This window comes from Homo sapiens, chromosome 7 (assembly GCF_000001405.40).
Source record: "Homo sapiens chromosome 7, GRCh38.p14 Primary Assembly".
Taxonomy (NCBI): Eukaryota; Metazoa; Chordata; class Mammalia; order Primates; family Hominidae; genus Homo; species Homo sapiens.
In genome coordinates, this window is record NC_000007.14 from 76017437 (window position 1) to 76036195 (window position 18759).

The 18759-nt window shown below is 48.5% G+C and overlaps 1 protein-coding gene across 14 annotated transcripts in view, besides 1 other annotated feature; it reads right to left on the minus strand.

Moving 5' to 3' along the window:
• Positions 1 to 18759, minus strand: part of STYXL1 (serine/threonine/tyrosine interacting like 1) — a 51664-nt gene that overhangs the window by 21100 nt on the left and 11805 nt on the right. For 5 of the 14 annotated variants that reach the window (NR_134487.1, NR_134486.2, XM_011516293.4 and 2 more), the window contains 3 exons: positions 12985 to 13088; positions 11206 to 11267; positions 4415 to 4556 (listed from right to left, as the gene is read on the minus strand). Coding sequence is in view for 12 of the 14 variants with exons in the window: in XM_011516293.4 (XP_011514595.1) it covers positions 4415 to 4556; positions 11206 to 11267; positions 12985 to 13087 (307 nt within the window). In the remaining 2 variants the exon portion in view is untranslated. Of the gene's footprint in view, positions 1 to 4414; positions 4557 to 11205; positions 11268 to 12984; positions 13092 to 13186; positions 13238 to 16199; positions 16271 to 18759 lie in introns of those variants that run through there. The other 9 variants (NM_001317786.2, NM_001317785.2, NM_001317788.2 and 6 more) reach the window with 7 other exon arrangements.
• Positions 1759 to 2260: an enhancer, noted in NCBI's record as "H3K27ac hESC enhancer chr7:75648513-75649014 (GRCh37/hg19 assembly coordinates)". NCBI's record gives its function as "activates a minimal SCP1, AML or CMV promoter by ChIP-STARR-seq in primed H9 embryonic stem cells {active_cell/tissue: H9 hESC(primed)}" and the evidence as "EXISTENCE:reporter gene assay evidence [ECO:0000049][PMID:30033119]".

An 18759-nucleotide genomic window follows, 5' to 3' on the forward strand; every position in this document is an offset into this window, starting at 1 on the left:
CCTAAACGAACTAACACAGATATAGAAAACCAGATACCACATGTTCTCATTTATAAGTGCAAGCTAAACATCAGAAGCATATAGAAATAAAGATGCGGAACAACACACCCTGAAGAATACGAGGAGGACAGAGAGAGAGGGACAGGGGTTGAAAAACTACCTACTGGGGCCAGGCGCGATGGCTCACACCTGTAATCCCAATACTTTGGGAGGCCAAGGCGGGTGCATCATCTGAGGCCAGGAGTTTGAGACCAGCCTGGCCAAGATGGCGAAACCCTGTCTGTACTGAAAATACAAAAAAATAGCCGGGTGGGGTGGTGCGCACCTGTATTCCCAGCTACTTGGGAAGCTGAGGGGAAGCAGAGACTGCAGTGAGCCAAGATCACACCATTGCACTCCAACCTGGGCAACAAGAGCAAAACTCCATCTCAAAAAAAAAAAAAAAGGCAAGACAGAAGAAAAAAGAAAAACTACCTACTACCTATTGGGTTCTATGCTCACTACCTGGGTGATGGGTTCAATATACAATTCAGTGACTTTTAGTATATTCAGAGTTATGCAACCATCCCCCACAATCAATTTTAGAATGTTTTCTTCTATTTTTAGTATTTATTTGAGACAGAGTCTCACTATGTTGCCCAGACTGGTCTCGACTCCTGGGCTCAAGCAATCCTCCCACCTCAGCCCCTCAAAGTGCTGGGACTACAGGTGTGAGCGACAGTGCCCGGCCTAATTTTAGAACATTTTCATCACCCCTACAAGGGACCCTGTACCACTAATCAGCCACACCCGTTTTTCCCCAAACTCCCAGCTCCACTTAACCACTCATTTCTATGGATTTGCCTATTCTGGACTTTTCATATAAATGGAATAATATGTGATGTTTTGCATCTAACTTCTATCACTTACCATGATCTCTTTAGTGTTCATCTACATTATAGCACATGTCAGTACTTTTATTTTTTTTTTTTTGAGACCGAGTTTCACTCTGTTGTCCAGGCTAGAGTACAATAGCACAAACTCGGCTCACTGCAACCTCTGCCTCCCAGGTTCAAGTGATTCTCCTACCTCAGCCTCCCTAGTAGCTGGGATTACAGGCACATGCCACCACGCCCAGCTAATTTTTGTATTTTTAATAGAGATGGGGTTTCACCACATTGGCCAGGCTGGTCTTGAACTCCTGACCTCAGGTGATCCTCCCGCCTTGGCCTTCCAAAGTGCTGGGATTACAGGCATTATTAGCCACAGCGCCCAGCCCCATTCCTTTTTATGGCTGAGTAATATTCCATTGTGTGGACAGACCACATTCTGTTCTACCTGTTTAGCTGCTGATAGACACTTAGGTTGTTCGTGCTTTTTGGCTATTATGAATAACACTGCTATGAACATTCATGTAAAAGCTTTGGTGTGGATGTGTTTTCATTACTTTGGGGTCTATATCTTAACCTTCTAAAGAAACACCACACTGTTTTCCAGTGACTGCACCATTTTACTTTCTGGTTCGCAGTGTATGAGGCTTCCAATTTCTCCATGTTCTCACCAACACTTATTATCATCTGTCTCTTTGATTATTACCATCCCAGTGGGCGTGAATAATATCTCAATGTGGTTTTGACATCAATTTAATCTTAAACACCTTCATTGATCTGCAGAATCACAATCAGACTGCATGTAAATTAGATATATGTGACAGGAAGTTTGCATAATTAAGGCTAAGCCAAGACATCCTTAAACCAAGATATCCTGAGGCCAGGTTCTGGCCCAGAAAGAGAAATAGTGTGTGGCAGACTTCAGAGAGCCAGATAAAAGGAGAAAGAAAACAGCATGAACTCTAACTGTTTTTTTCTTTTTTTTTTTTTTTTAAATACGTTTTTTTTAGAGACAGGGTCTTACGCTGTCAGCCAGGCTAGAATACAGTGGTACAGTCATAGCTCACTGCAGCCTTGACCACCTGGGCTCAAGTGATCCTCCTGCCTCAGCCTCCTGAGTAGCTGGTGCTACAGGCATGCACCACCATGCCTGGCTAAATTTTTTTTTTTGTATTTTTGGTAGAGACGGGGCCTTGCTATGTTGCCCAGGGTGGTCTCAAACTCCTGGCTTCAAGCAACCCTCCTGCCTCAGCCTCACAAAGTGCTGGGATTACGAGTGTGAGGCACCGTGCCTGGCTAACTCTGCTTCCATATTGAATTTTTGTTCAGGGAGACAAAGACACTTCCAGAAGGGGCTGTGGAGGATATAAGTGGCTGGGACCTATCTGAGAGATGGCATTGACAGGAAGAATCTGGAATCTGCAGCCAGGCTGAGAGAGAATCTGCAGCTCTCAAGACAGGAGCCAAAGCTCACCCCACAGGGCCTGGCTCAGAAGTCAGAGTTCAGGCCAGGCATGGTGGCTCATGCCTGTAATCCATGCACTTTGAGAGGCCAATGCAAGAGAATTGCTTGAAGCCAAGAGTTCGAGACCAGCCTGGGCAACAAAGCGAGACCCTGACTCAAAAAAAAAAAAAAAAAAAGAAAGAAGGGGGTGTTGAGAGAAGCCTTGAGATGGTCTTGTACCCCCAAAGACTTTTCATTGACCTGAAAGATGCCATTTGAAACAAGAAAAGTTGCCTTGAATGCACAAGTTGTGTGGTTGTGGTTTCCTGTGAATGGGGGCCCCATAGCAAAGTAAGGTCAGTTATAGAATGTAAAGGGGATTATCCATGTTGAGTACCATCTCCTAGGGTTTCAAGGCCTAGCCTACAGTCCTAGGATTGCAGACCAGAGCCCAACAGGATGAGCTTAGGGAAGAAGGGACAATTTCCTGGCCAAGGACCTCCTGGGACAAAAGTCCAGACAGCTGGTTTTATGAAAGGTGGGAGCATAGCGCCACCCCGTGGCAGTTGGTGTGAGTGCCCCCAGCTTCTGGAACGGCACCCACAGGTGCAGTTCTGATTCCTAGAAGCAGAGCTCCCAGTGCCAATGGCAAAGGGTGGTCAGCCCAAAACCAGGGGCTAATGAAGAACACAGCAGAGCCTCAGAGGTTCGATGGAGCACATTGGAACTGACCACGCTTTAATGTTCTGACTTGGGGCTGCATGCTCTCGTGCCACTACCCAATCCCTGGGGGACAGGACAGAGCCAAAAAGGCCTGGGTTTGAATCCTGGCCCCACCACTTATAGGTGTGGTGGTTTAAAAATATGTCCACAACACTTTTAAAAGCTTAAGTCTCAGGCAACACAGCAAGACCCAGTCTTTACAAAAAGTAAATAAATGAGCTGGGTACCTTATCTTGCCATATCACCCAGGCTGGTCTTGAACTCCTGGGCTCAAGTGATCCTCCTGCCTCAGCCTCCCCAAGTGCTGGGACTACAGGTATGAGTCACTGGGCCTGGCTTCCTCACAGCTCTTGATGTTAGTTAGCGTCCTTGTAAGCTGTTCTGCAGATCCAAGTAAAGCCCTTGGTTCCTGGTGCATGGCACACATGGAACTGTCCCCATAAACTTTGTGAAATCAGCAAAGAAGGGAGGGGAACAAATGAAAATAAAGCAAGCTTGCAGCACATTCAGCATTCATCACTAAGTCACCTTGCTTGCTCTCCAACCTGCTTGCTCACAGCTGTTTGATGTGTATTGTCCTAGAATCACATAAGACCCTGTTACAAGAATTTTTTTTTTTTTTTGAGAAGGAGTCTCGCTCTGTCGCCCAGGCTGGAGTGCAGTGGCGTGATCTCCGCTCACTGCAAGCTCTGCCTCCTGGGTTCACGCCATTCTCCTGCCTCAGCCTCCCAAGTAGCTAGCAGGGACTACAGGCGCCTGCCACCATGCCCGGCTAATTTTTTGTGTATTTAGTAGAGACGGAGTTTCACCGTGTTAGCCAAGATGGTCTCAATCTCCTGACCTTGTGATCCGCCCGCCTCGGCCTCCCAAAGTGCTGGGATTACAGGCATGAGCCACCGCGCCCGGCCAAGAATATAGTTCCCCTTAACTGCTCTGTAGGTGACAACTTGAACATCATGGAACACTGTTTTCCCTTTGAGATATTCTTTCAGGTCCCGCGTACTGATGAAACCACTGACATCAGCTGGTCTGACGGGCCCCACAGGAGCTGACTCACCAAAGAACGCAGTTTCCACGTCCTGATTATTTCATCCCCCTTTCCTCAACCAATCAATGACCCCAACTTTCCAGTCCCTCACCCTCCCCAATCCCCTTAAAAACCCCATTCCAAACTCCTTGGGGAAATGTATTTGAGGGCCTCCTCCCATCTCCTTGCTCGGTATCCAGTGATCATGAAGCTCTTTTTCTGACGCAAACCCTGCTGTCTCAGTGTCATTGGCCTGTTCCCGTGCCATGGGCATATGAACCTGTTGGTCCTATAACAAATTTGTTCAATAGCCGTTAACTATTATTCTTGCTGCTGTTGCATAAAACCCACCTTTGCCATCACCATCAGAGTCTGAATCATCATCATCATCTTTTAAGAGTATCTCCAGGGTGCTGCTGTTGTTATCATACACCACGCAGTACTTCACACACTCCAGGTCCACAGACTCCGGGAGAAGATATTCATTATTTTTCTTAAAAAAAAAAACACACACACACAAGAGAGGCCTGTTGGTGGGCAGGTTCGGTTGAGCAGAGACTCCCTGCATAGCAGCACTGGGAGGAGCTAAGACCGCACTCTCTCCCCTGACTATACACACAGGCCCAGAAGCACTGAGACAGTGGATGGAGAGTCTGTTAAATCCCAAGGATCCTCCACAACTGTGTTCCCTTCTGAGAAAAGCTGACCACAGCTGACTGGACCAGAGAGAAGTGCCTGACCAAAGAACAGCTGGTCTGCTGACTGATCCACAGCCTATTAGGTACCCTGGTGTCAGAGAAACCATGGTCAATTGAATTAGTGATATCCTTTCTCATGGGGAGAGTGTTTGGCAGTGGAGATTGAATCCAGAAATACCAGACTGGATGCAGTGGTTTGCACCTGTAATCCCAGCACTTCAGGAGGCCAAGGCAGGAGGATTGCTTGAGGCCAGGAGTTCCAGACCAGCCTGGACAACAGCAAGATCCCCGACTCTATGAAAAAAAAAAAAATACAAAAATGCCAGGCATAGTGGCATGCGCCTGTAGTCCCTACTACTCAGGAGGCTGAAGTGGACGGATCACTTGAGCCCAGGAGGCGGAGGCTGCAGTGAGCTGCGATTGTGTCACTGCACTCCAGTCTGGGTGACAGAGCAAGACCCTGTCCCAAAACAACAACAACAAGACAAAAAACACCCCAAAAAAGGACAGTAAGTAGACAGTGTGTAGAAGCAGAAGTCATGAGTGAGCAGAAGGAATGAGATAGACTAGAAGATCAAATGTGGCTGGCCATGGTGGCTCATGCCTATAATCCCAGCTACCTGGGAGGCTGAGGTGGGAGGATCGCTTGAGCCCTGGAGTTCAAAGCTGCAGTGAGCTATGATTGCACCACTGCACTCCAGCCTGGGTAACAGAGTGAGACTATGTCCCAAAAAAACAAAAATAAAACAAAAACAAAACAAAACAAACAAACAAACAAAAAACCTCATGGATCATAAGATGTACTAACAATTTAACCAGGAGTGTGCACAAAAGAGGGACTTACTGGCAGGTAACACTCCAGGGTAAGGCAAAGATGCAGCCGGTTTCCAAACCTAAAGCAGCTGGCTTTAGGACCCAGAGACCCTAAAGCCCAGACTTCCTTCGGGCTCTCTTCCTCTCTGCTTCCCACTCCACCCCTCCACACTGACTTCCCCTTCTCAGACAGCTTCCTCCAGAGGCTTAAGTCACGAACCCCAGCAATGCTCAGACTCCCATCTTCCCAATTCCACCACCAGGCTGGACAGAGACACCTTTCTTCTAATTCCAATTCTGATTGGCTCAGCTTTCATCCCAGACCCAGGACCAATCACTGTGGCCAGCGTTCTGGATATTATTTTATTTTAGAGACAGGGTCTCACTCTGTTGCCCAGGCTGGACTGCAGTGGTGCAGTCACCGCTCACTGCAGCCTTGAATTCCTGGGCTCAAATGATCTTCGCACTTCAGCCTCCTGAGTAGCTGGGACCACGGGCATGCACCACCATACTTGGCTAATTTATATATTTATATCTATATATATAGATATATTTGTAGAGACAAAAAAAGCCGGGTGTGGGAGGGTGCACATGTAGTCCCAGCTACTCGGGAGTCTGAGGTGAGAGGATCACTTGAGTCTGGGAGGTGGAGGCTGCAGTGAGCTATGATTGCATCACTGCGCTCCAGCCTGGGTGACAGCAAGACTTGTCTCAAACCAACAAGGCCGGGCGCGGAGGCTCATGTCTGTAATCCCAGCACTTTGGGAGGCCAAGGTGGGCGGATCACCTGAGGTCAGTTCGAGATCAGCCTGGCCAACATGGTGAAACCTCATCTCTACTAAAAATACAAAAATTAGCCAGGTGTGGTGGCACACGCCTATAGTACCAGCTACCAAAGAGGCTGAGGCAGGAGAATGGCTTGAACCCGGGAGGCAGAGGTTGCAGTGAGCCGAGATCGCGTCACTGCACTCAAGCCTGGGCAACAGAGTGAAACTGTCTCAAAACAACAAGAACACCACCACCACTTAAAAAGAAGGCAGTAAACAGATGCCTTCTCAGGTCCCACTGTGTTGTCCAGGCTCGTCTCAAACTCTTGAGCTCAAGCAAACTCCCCACCTCGGCCTCCCAAAGTGTTGGGATTACAGACTTAAGCCACCGTGCCTGGCCAGAATATTACTTTAGAGAGCACCACTAGAAACCCATGGTTTGAGCAGAGAGAGGAGACGTTCCCCTCAAAAAGGGGGAGGTGTTGGGCAGAAAAACAACCGATATTCACCACACCCACTTTTAGGGAAAAAGACACTACCATATTAAAAGTACAAATCAGGCCAGGCCTGGTGGCTCATGCCTGTCATCCCAGCACTATGGGAGGCTGAGGAGGGAGGACTGCTTGAGCCCAGGCGTTCAAGACCAGCCTGGGTAACATAGCGAGACCCCATCTCTACAAAAAATACAAGTTAGCTGGGTGTGGTGGTGCACACCTATGGTCCCAGCTACTGGGAAGGGTAAGGTGGGAGGACTGCTTGATCCTGGGAGTTTAAGGCTGCAGTGAGCTGTGATGGTGCCATTGCACTCCAGCCTAAGCGAGAGAGTGAGACCCTGTCTCAAAACAAAACAACAAAACAAAAAAAACAAAACAAAAAAAAGCCATACAAATTGGCCAGGTGCGGTGGCTCACACTTGTAATCCCAGCACTTTGGGAGGCCAAGGCAGGCGGATCACAAGGTCAGGAGTTTGAGACCAGCCTGACCAATATGGTGAAACTCCATCTCTACTAAAAATGCAAAAATTAGCCAGGTGTGGTGGTATGCGCCTGTAGTCCCAGCTACTTGGGAGACTGAGGCAGAAGAATTGCCTGAACCTGGGAAGCGGAGGTTGCAGTGAGCCAAGATCGTACCACTGCACTCCAGCCTGGGCGACAGAGTGAGACTCTGTCTCAAAAAAAAAAAAAAAAAAAAATTCAACAGTACGACATATTCTGTTTTCAAAAAAAAGTTACAGTATGGGATACATGTGCATCATAGAAGGAAACATGGCAGCACAGTGCTGCTAAGGTGTCAGGTGAGAGTGGAAGTGTACTGGGAATGAGGCTGGAGACAGAGGTGGTCAGATCTAAGAAGGCTGAGAACACGGGCGGGAGGGGGGTGGGGCTGGGAGCCTTTCTGTCCTGCTAGGGCTGGGAATGCCCTGAAGGCCTCAATCTGCTAACTGGGAAGCTAGAGAGGGAAGGCAAGAGCCAAGAGTGCGCCACTGCACTCCAGCCTGGGCGACAAGAGCAAGACTTTGTCTCAAAAAATAAAAATAAAAATTAAAAAAAAAAAGCTATCAGTCTGAATTGGAGACGCTGAGGGGCAGAGGCCCAGAGCAGGAGGTGCTGCCAGAATCAAAGAAATGCACAGACTTGAGAGCTGAGTGGGAATAGAGGCCCATACATCATGAGGGGCTCTGAATCGGTTGCAGCAAAAGGCCTGCAATGGGGATTAAGAGTAAGATTATGGGCCTGGTGTGGTGGCTCATGCCTGTAATCCCAGCACTTTGGAAGGTCAAGGCGGGTGGATCACCTGAGGTCAGGAGTTCAAGACCAGCCTGGCCAACATGGCGAAACTCCATCTCTACTAAAAATATAAAAATTAGCCAGGTGTGGTGGCGGGTGCCTGTAACCCCAGCTACGAGGGAGGCTGAGGCAGGAGAATCCCTTGAACTTGGGAGATGGAGGTTGCAGTGAGCTGAGATTGTACCACTGCACCGGGCAGACAGACAGAGCAAGATTCTGTCTCAAAAACACAAAAAGACAAAAAGACAATAATGATGGATTTGTACGGGGAAATATCCTGGAAAAATACAGCCTGCCCATGCTCCCTGCTGAGTTATTGAGTTATGTGCAGAAAAAGCAGCACAGAGGCCGGGCGCGGTGGCTCACGCCTGTAATTCCAGCACTTTGGGAGGCTGAGGTGGGCGGATCATGAGATCAGAAGATCGAGAGCATCCTGGCTAACACGGTGAAACCCCGTCTCTACTACGAATACAAAAAATTAGCCAGGCATGGTGGCGGGCGCCTATAGTCCCAGCTACTCGGGAGGCTGAGGCAGGATAATGGCGTTAACCCGGGAGGTGGAGCGTGCAGCGAGCTGAGATTGCACCACTGCACTCCAGCCTGGAGGACAGAGCAAGACTCTGTCTCCAAAAAAAAAAAAAAAAAAAAAAAAAAAAAAAAAAAAAGCAGCAGAGACAGGGTGTGGAAAAGTACAGCGGGAATGGGGAGGAAAGGGGAATTTTAGAAGACAAAGTTTTATTTTATTACTTTTGAGACAGGGTCTTGCTCTGTCGCCCAGGCTGGAGTGCAGTGGTGCAATCAGCCTCCTGGACTCAAGTGATCCTCCCATCTCGGCCTCCCAAGTAGCTGGTACTACAGAGGTGCCCCACCACACTGAGTTAATTTTTCAATTTTTTTGTAGAGACAGGGGTCTTGCTATGTTGCCCAGGCTGGTCTTGAACTCCTGGACTCAAGCAATCCTCCTGCTTCGGCCAACCAAAGTGCTAGGATTACAGGAGTAAGCCTCCATGCCCCGCCCAAAATTTTAGATGTAAACTTGCCAGGAATGCTAATTGCATGTGGATATGTCATTGCAGCTGTAAGCTCCAGTGAAATCTCTGGCAAGAAAGTACCCTGACAGATGTGGAGATCAAGGACAGACCAGCAGTTACATTCAGGTGGCAGAAGGAGAAAATGAAGGTGAACCAAAGAGATAGAAAATAAACCAGGAGGCCAGGCTCACGCCTGCAATCCCAGCACTTTGGGTGGCTAAGACAGGCAGATAACGAGGTCAGGAGTTCCAGACCAGCCTGGCCAACATGGTGAAACCCTGTCTCTACTAAAGATACAAAAAAAGATAAGAAAAAATTAGCCAGGTGTGGTGGCGCACGCCTGTAATCCCAGCTACAGGCTGGAGGCTGAGGCAGGAGAATCATTTGAACCTGGGAGGCAGAGGTTGCAGTGAGCCGAAATTGTGCCACTGCACTCCAGCCTGGGTGACAGGGAGAGATTCTGTCTCAAAAGAAAAAAAAAAAGAATAAAGAAAAGAAACCAGGAAAGTCAAAGAGAACCTCCAAGTTCAGGGCAGAGAATTTGATCAGGACTGCAGAGGGGAGAGACGGGTCCTGGGCAAAGGCTGCCAGGCTTCACAATCATGAGGGAGAAGACACCCTGGAGGCGTGGGGAAAAGGTTTCGCTGCAGTAGGGGACATGGTGACTGTGTGCAGGGCTCTGTCCACTCCTCAGGATGGGGAAGGGAAGAGGGGACAGGAGGGGAATGGAAGAGGGGAGGGGATGGGAAGGAAAAAAGGGAGATGCTTCCATCTTTGGATTATAGCCAATTATCTCTAGGGTTTATTGTCTGTTTGCTAAATAGAAGAGAAGGTCCATGACAGCCTGGGCAACATAATAAGATCCTGTCTTTAAAAAAAAAAAATTAGCATGTTGGCACAAGTCTGCAGTCCCAGCTACTCAGGAGGCTGAGATAGGAGGGTTGATTGAACCCAGGAGTTCAAGCCATGATTGTGCCACTGCACCCCTGCCCGGGTGACAGAGCAAGACCCTGTCCCTAAAAATTTACAACATAAAGCTCCAAAAATAAAGATAAAAATGAAAAAAATATATAAAAACAACACATAAAAACAGAAAAAATAATTAAAAACAACAAAAAAAGAAAGCTCCACAACGGCAGGGACAATGAACTCAGGCTGTTGTATTCTGTTGTATCCCCAGGGTCTGGAACAATACCTGGCATATCAAGGAATTAAATCAATATTTGGCCAGGCTTAGGCGGCTCACATGTGTAATCCCAGCGCTTTGGGAGGCTAAGGCAGGAGGATGGCTTGAGTCCAGGAGTTCAAGAGCAGCCTGGGCAACACAGTGCAACCCCATTTCTATAAAAAATACAAAAATTAGCCAGGCCTGGTGGCATTCCCCATTGTAGTCTCAGCTACTCTGGAGGCTGAGCGGCGTAGGATTGCTCGAGCCCAGGAGATATATATATATTTTTTAGACCAACACTCACTCTGTTGCCCAGGCTAGAGTACAGTGGCGTGATCTCAGCTCACTACAAACTCCGCCTCCCAGGTCCAAGCGATTCTCATGTCTCAGCCTCCTGAGTAGCTGGGACTCAGGCGTAAGCCACCACACCTGGCTAATTTTTGTATTTTTAATAGAGATGGGGTTTCACCATGTTGGCCAGTCTGGTCTTGAACTCCTGACCTCAGGTGATCTGCCCGTCTCAGCCTCACAAAGTGCTGGGACTGCAGGCATGAACCACCATGCCCAGCCAAGCCCAGGAGTTTAAGGCCGCAGTGAGCTATGATTGTGCCACTGCACTCCAGCCTGGATGACAGAGCGAGACCCGGTCTCAAAAATTAAATCAGTATTTGTCTAATGGAGTTGTTGACCATTCTTGGGGGATGGGAGGACACCTGAGAAAATGTGTGAGGGTGAGAGGTGTGGAAGACCACCACGGTGGGCACATAGAAAACAGTCCTGCTTCTGCTGCCCGCTGGATTGAGGGTGAAACTTCCCACTCTTCCCCACCCCACTGCAAGGTAGCCAGCCTGCCCCAGATCCTGACGCTGCCCATGTACCTTCTTCACTCGAAGGGCAGTGATCACATGGCTTTCGTCATACTCCCATTTGGAACGGACATCTGGAAAGGAAACGTATTTAAGAACTGAATTTGCAAAGGAACATACGACCAAACTACTCAGAGGACCTACGTCGTCATCAACGTCTATTTGTTTGGCAGTTAAGGGATAGTCATTGTCAGTTTAAAACTTGAGATGTGGGGCTGGGCGCGGTGGCATGCACCTGTAACCCCAGCACTTTGGAAGGCCGAGGCAGGTGGATCACTTGAGCCAGGAGTTCAAGACCAGCCTGGCCAACACGGCGAAATCCCATCTCTACTAAAAATACAAAAATTAGCCGGGCGTGGTGGCAGCGCCTGTAGTCCCAGCTACTCACGAGGCTGAAGGAGAATCACTTAAATCTGGAGGCTGAGGTTGCAGCAAGCCAAGATCACACCATTGCACTCCAGCCTGGGCAACAGAACAAGATTCTGTCTCATAAATAAATAAAAATGGTAAGGGGAAGGAAGAAATCAAATTTGAAGTGAGCTCACACTAAATCCCCATCCAGGTTGGAGTGCAGTGGCATGATCTCGGCTCACTGCAATCTCCGTCTCCTGGGTTCAAGCGATTTTCCTGCCTCAGCCTCCCTAGTAGCTGGGACCACAGGCACATGCCACCACACCCGGCTAATTTTTGTATTTTTAGTAGAGACGGGGTTTCACCATGTTGGCCAGGCTGGTCTCAAACTCCTGACCTCAGTTGATCCGCCCACCTCGGCCTCCCAAAACACTGGGATTACAGGCACAAGCCACCACACCTGGCCTCTTAACAGCTTTCTAAAGCAGCGATCCCCAATCTTTTTGGCACCAGGGACTGGTTTCATGGAAGACAATTTTTCCACGGAACAGGGCAGTGGGCTGGGGGGCGGGGATGGTTTGGGGATGACTCAAGCCCATTACATTTTTTGTGCATTTCTATTATTATTACATTGTAATATATAATGAAATAATTCTACCATCATGTAGAATCAGTGGAAACCCTGAACTTGTTTTCCTGTGACTAGACGGTCCCTTCTGGGGGTGACAGGAGATAGTGACAGATCATCAGGCATTAGATTCTCACAAGGAGAGCGCAACTTAGATCCCTTGAATGCACACTTCACAGTAGGGTTTGCGCTCCTGTGAGAATCTAATGCTGCTGCTGATCTGACAGCAGGTGGAGCTCAGGCGGTAATGCAAGCGATGGGGAGTGGCTGTAAATACAGATGAAGCTTCTGCTTCACCTGCTCACCTGCTGCTCACCTCCTGCTGTGCTGCCTGGTTCCTAACAGACCACAGACTGGTACTGGGGGTTGGGGGTTGCGGACTTCTTTTTTATTTTTTTTTTTCTTTTTTGAGACAGGGTCTCACTCTGTCACCCAGGCTGGAATGCAGTGGCCCAAATCTCGGCTCACTCCAACCTCCACCTTCCAGGTTCAAGCAATTCTCATGCCTCAGCCTCCTGAGTAGCTGGGATTACAGGCATGCACCACTGCAGCTAATTTTTTTGTATTTTTAGTAGAGATGGGGTTTTGCCCTGTTGGCCTGGCTGGTCTTGATCTCCTGGCTTCAAGTGATTCGCCCACCTTGGCCTTCCCAAGTGCTGGGATTACAGGCGTGTGCCACCACACCCAGCCCAGGGATCCCTGTTCTAAAGTCATTCACTGCCCCCCACCCCGCCAAAAGTTTGTTAACTCATCAAAAATAATGTTTGAAGGACACTGTGTTTGACCTCCTCCGCTTTTTTCCAAGTACTTACCCAATAAACAGAGATAGTTGGGGTCTGTTAATCTGGAGAGTTTTGTGGCCTGATTCAGGATGTTGTAAAGCTCTGTTGGTTCACATAAAAGCAAACCAGGCATCCTGCTGGGAAGAATCAATAACACACAAGGGTAACATAACTCTATTTTAGATGAATGACCACAAAGTAATATAATGAATTAAACTCTTTTTTAACATACCTTCAAGCAAAGATGACAGTAATCATGTAAATGATCAGGAATGCTTCAAAACTGTATAGTGAAATATAGTGCGCAGAGGAGAATAAAATCTTAAATACAACATATCTAGCCAGGCGTGGTGGCTCACGCCTGTAATCCCAGGACTTTGGGAGGCCGAGGCGGGTGGATCACTTGAGGCCAGGAGTTCAAGACCAGCCCGGCCAACAATGGCAAGACCCCATCTCTACTAAAAAAAAAAAAAAAAAAAAAAAAAATTGGCCAAGAGTGGTGGCTCACACCTGTAATCCCAGCACTTTAGGAGGCCGAGGCAGGTGGATCACCTAAGGTCAGGAGTTCAAGAGAAGCCTGGCCAACATGGTGAAACCCTGTTTCTGCTAAAAATACAAAAATTAGTCAGGCATGGTGGTGCACATCTATAGTCCCAGCTACTCAGGGGGCTGAGGTAGGAGAGTCGCTTGAACCCAGGAGGCGGAGGCTGCAGTGAGCTGAAATCATGCCATTGCACTCCAGCCTGGGTGACAGAGCGAGACTCTGTCTAAAATAATAATAATAATAATAATTAGCCAGGCATGGTGGTGCACACCTGTAATCCCAGCTACTCGGGAGACTGAGGCAAAAGAATCACTTGAACCTGGGAGGCAGAGGTTGCAGTGAGCCGGAATCATGCCATTGCACTCCAGCCTGGGGGACAGAGTGAGACTCTGTCTCCAAAAAAAAAAAAAAAAAAAAAAAAAAAGTAATATATTGAACTTCAAACAAAGATGAGAGTAACCAAGGAAGTGATCAGGAGGGCTTCAAAAATGTATAGTTGGCTGGGCGCAGTAGCTCACGCCTGTAATCCCAACACTTTGGGAGGCCGAGGTAGGTGGATCACCTGAGGTCAGGAGTTTGAGACCAGCCTGGCCAACATGGTGAAACCCCATCTCTACTAAAAATACAAAAATTACCTGGGAATGGTGGCAGGCACCTGTAATCCCAGCTACTTGGGAGGCTGAGGCAGGAGAATCACTTGAACCCGGGAGGCGGAGGTTGAAGTGAGCCAAGATTGCACCACTGCACTCCAGCCTGGGCTACAGAATAAGACTCCATCTCAAAAAAAAAAAAAAATGTGTAGTGAAATGTGGGCAGAGAATAAAATCTTGAATACAACGTTATCTGAGCCATATACATACCACATGGGCTGTAAAACAGCTGCCAGTTCATTTGCTTATTTAGCAAATAATTACTGAGCACCTACTATGTCCCAGGCACTGGAAATAACTGTGGTAAACAAAACCTGCCTTCATGAAGGTTATAGTCTAGCATGGAATGCAGACACTTGCAGAAAGAATTGCAAGATGCAAGAGCACTATAAAAGATCTCAGGGCCATGCATAGTGACTCATGCCTGCAATCTCAGCACTTGGGGAGGCCTAGGCAGGAGGATCACTTGATCCCAGGAATTCAAGACCAGCCTGGACCACATAGCAAGACCCTGTAATACAAATTAGCTGGGCATGGTGGTATACACCTATAGTCCCAGCTATTCAGGAGGCCAAGGTAGGGGGGATTGCTTGAGGCTGGGGGTTCAAGACCAGCCTGGACAACATAGTGAGACCCCATCTCTAAAAAAAAAAAAAAATTCTTAAACTAGCCAGGTGTGGTGGCACATGCCTGTGGCCCCAGCAACTCAGGAGGCTGAGGTGGGAGAATCACTTGAGGCTGGGAGGTGGGGCTGCAGTAAGCCGTGATCACACCACCACAATCCCGTCTGGGCAACAGAGTGAGACCCTGTCTTGAAAAAAAAAAAAAAAGAAGGAGGAGGATCAGCTGGGCGTGGTGGCTCACATCTGTAATCCCAGCACTTTTCGAGGCTGAGGCAGGCAGATCACCTTTGGTCAGGAGTTCAAGACCAACATGGCAAAACTCCGTCTCTACTAAAAATACAAAAATTAGCTGGGTGTGGTGGTGCATGCCTGTAGTCCCAGCTACTCGGGAGGCTGAGGCAGGAGAATTTCTTGAACCTGGGAGGCAGAGGTTGCAGTGAGCTGAGACTGCACTACTGCACTCCAGCCTGGGTGACAGAGTAACTTTGTCTCAAAAAAACAAACAAACAAACAAAAACAAGTAGGATCCATTGTGACAGGAGTACCTAACAGGAGGTTCTCACCTAGTTGGGGGAATGGGAAAAGGGTTGTCTGAGGATGTGACTGCTAAACTGAGACAGAAGGTTGGGCAAGAGGAAGAGGGAGGGGGAGAGAGGACGAAACAAAGGATAAGAACATTCTGCTTGGAGCAGGGGCAAGTGCAGTACCTAAGAGAGTTCAAAGGAGCCTGGTGTGGCTCCTTTGATGACACTGCAGAGGCCAACACAGATGGCCTCTACGTTAAGGATCCCGACAGTCATTGTTGGGTGGAGAATCACTGATGTGTCCAGAGCTAGGCTCGGGCTCCAGTTGGCAGAGCTGCTCTTGGGACACTGGCTCCTGGGCCCAATTGTTTCTGGAAGGGTCAGGCCTGTGCAGGAGCTTCCTGTAGGAAGGCTTTTATTTTATTTATTTTTGAGACAGGGTCTTTTTCTGTCATCCAGGCTTGAGTACGGTGGTGTGATCATGGCTGACTGCGGCCACAAACTCCCAGGCTCAAGCAATCCTCTGGCCTCAGCCTCCTGAGTAGCTGGGACTACAGCGTATGCCATCATGCCCGGCTAAGTTTTGAATTTTGTGGAGATGGGGGTCTCACACTATGTTGCCCAGTCTGGTCTCAAACTCCTGTCCACAAGTGATCCTCCCTCCTCGGCCTCCCAAAGTGCTGGCATGACAGGTGTGAGCCACTGCACCTGGCCAGCTATCTTTTAGCAAGAGGGCTAGAAGGAGAGCAGAGTGGAGCCTCTGGAGGCCAGTGGGGGATGGCGAAGGGGAGAAGTTGAGTCCAGGGGTAATCTTGCTCTAAACGGTTAGGCTCCACTTCAGAGTTACCAGACGATGCTCCTGGGAAATGCCAGCACCTCAACTTAAACCTCAGATCCTTCTCACCTCCTCAAAGACTTCAGTTCTCAGCACCCCCTCCACAGCATCATCAGTTTCAGCCTCCACATGGGTCCTTCCTGTTGACATGCAAACATCCTCTTGTACCTATCTGTTCTTCTTTCCAGCAGAAGCGTGGAAAGAGAAACACCATCTCTCAAAAGCGTGGTGTTTCATTTACCGCCTCCACTTCTTCACCTCCAATTATGCTGTCCCTGGAGTCAAACTCTTTTAGGTCTGAATCCTGGCTCTGCGATTCACTATCAGCTGCCTGGCCCTAAGGAGTGGTTAGCTTCTCTGTGCCTCAGTCCCCACCTCTGTAAAATGGGGGTGAGAATAATATTGCCACTTCTATATAATGAGGGTGACAGTACCTGCCTGGTGTATGTGGATTCATGAAGTCACATTTGTCAGGCATTCTAAGCAGGGAGGAAATACTCAGTGAGTACTGGCCATGGGCATAACCTACTTCTTTGGAGCTGCTGCCTTTTTTTGAGACAAGGTCTTGCTCTGTTGCCCATGTTGGAGTGCAGTGGCACTATCATAGCTTGCTGCAGCCTCAACCTCCTGGGCTCAAGTGATCCTCCTACCTCAGACTCCTACGTAATTGGAACTACAGGCACATGCCACCATGGCCGGCTAATTTTTTTTTAAGAGATGGGGTCTCACTATGTTGCCCAGGCTGGTTCCCCTGGAGCTTCCAACCCTACCAAACCACAAAGACTGCTCTGTATCAAAGTCATCAACAATGTCCATCTTGCCTAAGCCATTGGTCACTTCCCTCTGGGCTCAAACGCCTCAGCCTCTTAGGAGCATGTAACACGGCTGAGCATTGTTTCTTCCCCAGACACTCTCCCCTCCCAAGAAAAAGCACTCTCCAAGCTTCCCTTCTTCCTTGCAGACTGTTCCTCTCCAGCTCTGCATGGAAGAATGCCCCCGGGCTTACTTTCCTTTTTTTCTGCTTTATCTACACTCACTCTAGGGTAGGGGGTTTCTCAACCTTGACACCACTGACGTCCGGGGCCAGGTAACTCTATGTGTGGGGAGCTGGCCTGTGCACTGCTATGTTGAGTGGCATCCCTGGCCTCTGCCTAGTGGATGCCGGAAGCAAACTGTACCTCTTCCCATCACCAGTAACAGAAAGTATCTCCAGACATCACTAAGGGTCCCCTGGAAGAAGGGGGCAAGATCACCCGTAGCTGAGGACCAACACTCTAAGACCTAGAGTCACAGTGATTCATCCAGTTCCCTGAATACCACACACATACCAATGATTCCCAAATTTTATCCCACCTTGACCTGTCTACTGAGCTGCAGACTCTAGAAGGGTGCCTGGTAGACATCGTAAATACAGCATGGCCGAAATACAACTTCAATGCTCTCGTGCCCACACCTCCAGTACCTGCTCCTCATTTAGCCTTCTCAGTCTCAATCAACAGCACCATGATCCACCCAGTTGCTTGGGCCCGATGACCTCATTCCCCTTTCCCTCACATCCAGTCTCTGAGCTCTGCCTCCTTCATGTATTCCAAGTCCATCCACTTCTCTCCATCTCCAGGGGTACCATCTTGGTCCAGGACACTACAATCTCTCTCCTGATGAGGCAGTAGTGCCCAACTGGATTTCTTGCTTCCTCCTTCCTCCCTCCAGTTTCATCTTCACATAATAGTCCGGGAAATCTTTAAAATCTGAGTAGGGCCTTGTCTTCACCTCACTATCACCTGAAGTTATTGTGCTTATTTGCTTGTTTATTGTCTCCTGGTTTCTGAGGGAAGGTCTTGCCTGTCTTGTCCACTGCTAGGTCCTCACCCAATACCCCAGATTTACATGCTGCAAAGTAATAGTCAATGAACACATGTGGAATGAATACATTATTGTCAGTTACCATTATGGCCTTTCCCAACACCGCCATCTGGACCTGCCATCATACTTTTTCCACGTGTGGATTCCTCTTAAGGATCTCCTCACTCCCACCCCCCAAGTCAGGTTCCACATCCTCTGCCTCTGAAAGCCAGGCCACTTTGGCAGTGGTAAGTATAGAGGAGAGAAGTGGGCTTTGTGTCTAGTCCTACAACCTCATTAAGCAAAACTAAAAGCTGGCTCCTAACCCATCTGGTCTATGGCTCATACCCATCCTCAGCTACTACCTACTTTCCCCCATTGCTAACTCTATCTCCTTACTCACTAGCCAAAGAATCATCTCTGGTCCTATAGATAAAAACCCAGCCCCAAGGATCTCCTTCTGCAGATCCTTCTCCTTCTCAAAGCACTCTACCTGGTCAAGCAGGAACTGCCCCTCATCCACTGGTAAAGTGCTGGAAGGATGAGATCGGTCCCTGAACCTAACAGCATGATTCCAAGAGAAGATGCATCCCTGTGAACTGAAATTAGGGCACCTCTAGCCTTGGGTAAGTTGAGGACTGAGCACAAGTAACCATCCCATTTGGTGCTATTCTGAACCCTGAAGAGTTTATTTATTTACTTATTTTCTTGAGACAGAGTCTTGCTCTGTCCCCCAGGCTGGAGTGCAGTGGGATGATCTCGGCTCACTGTAACCTCCACCTCCCGG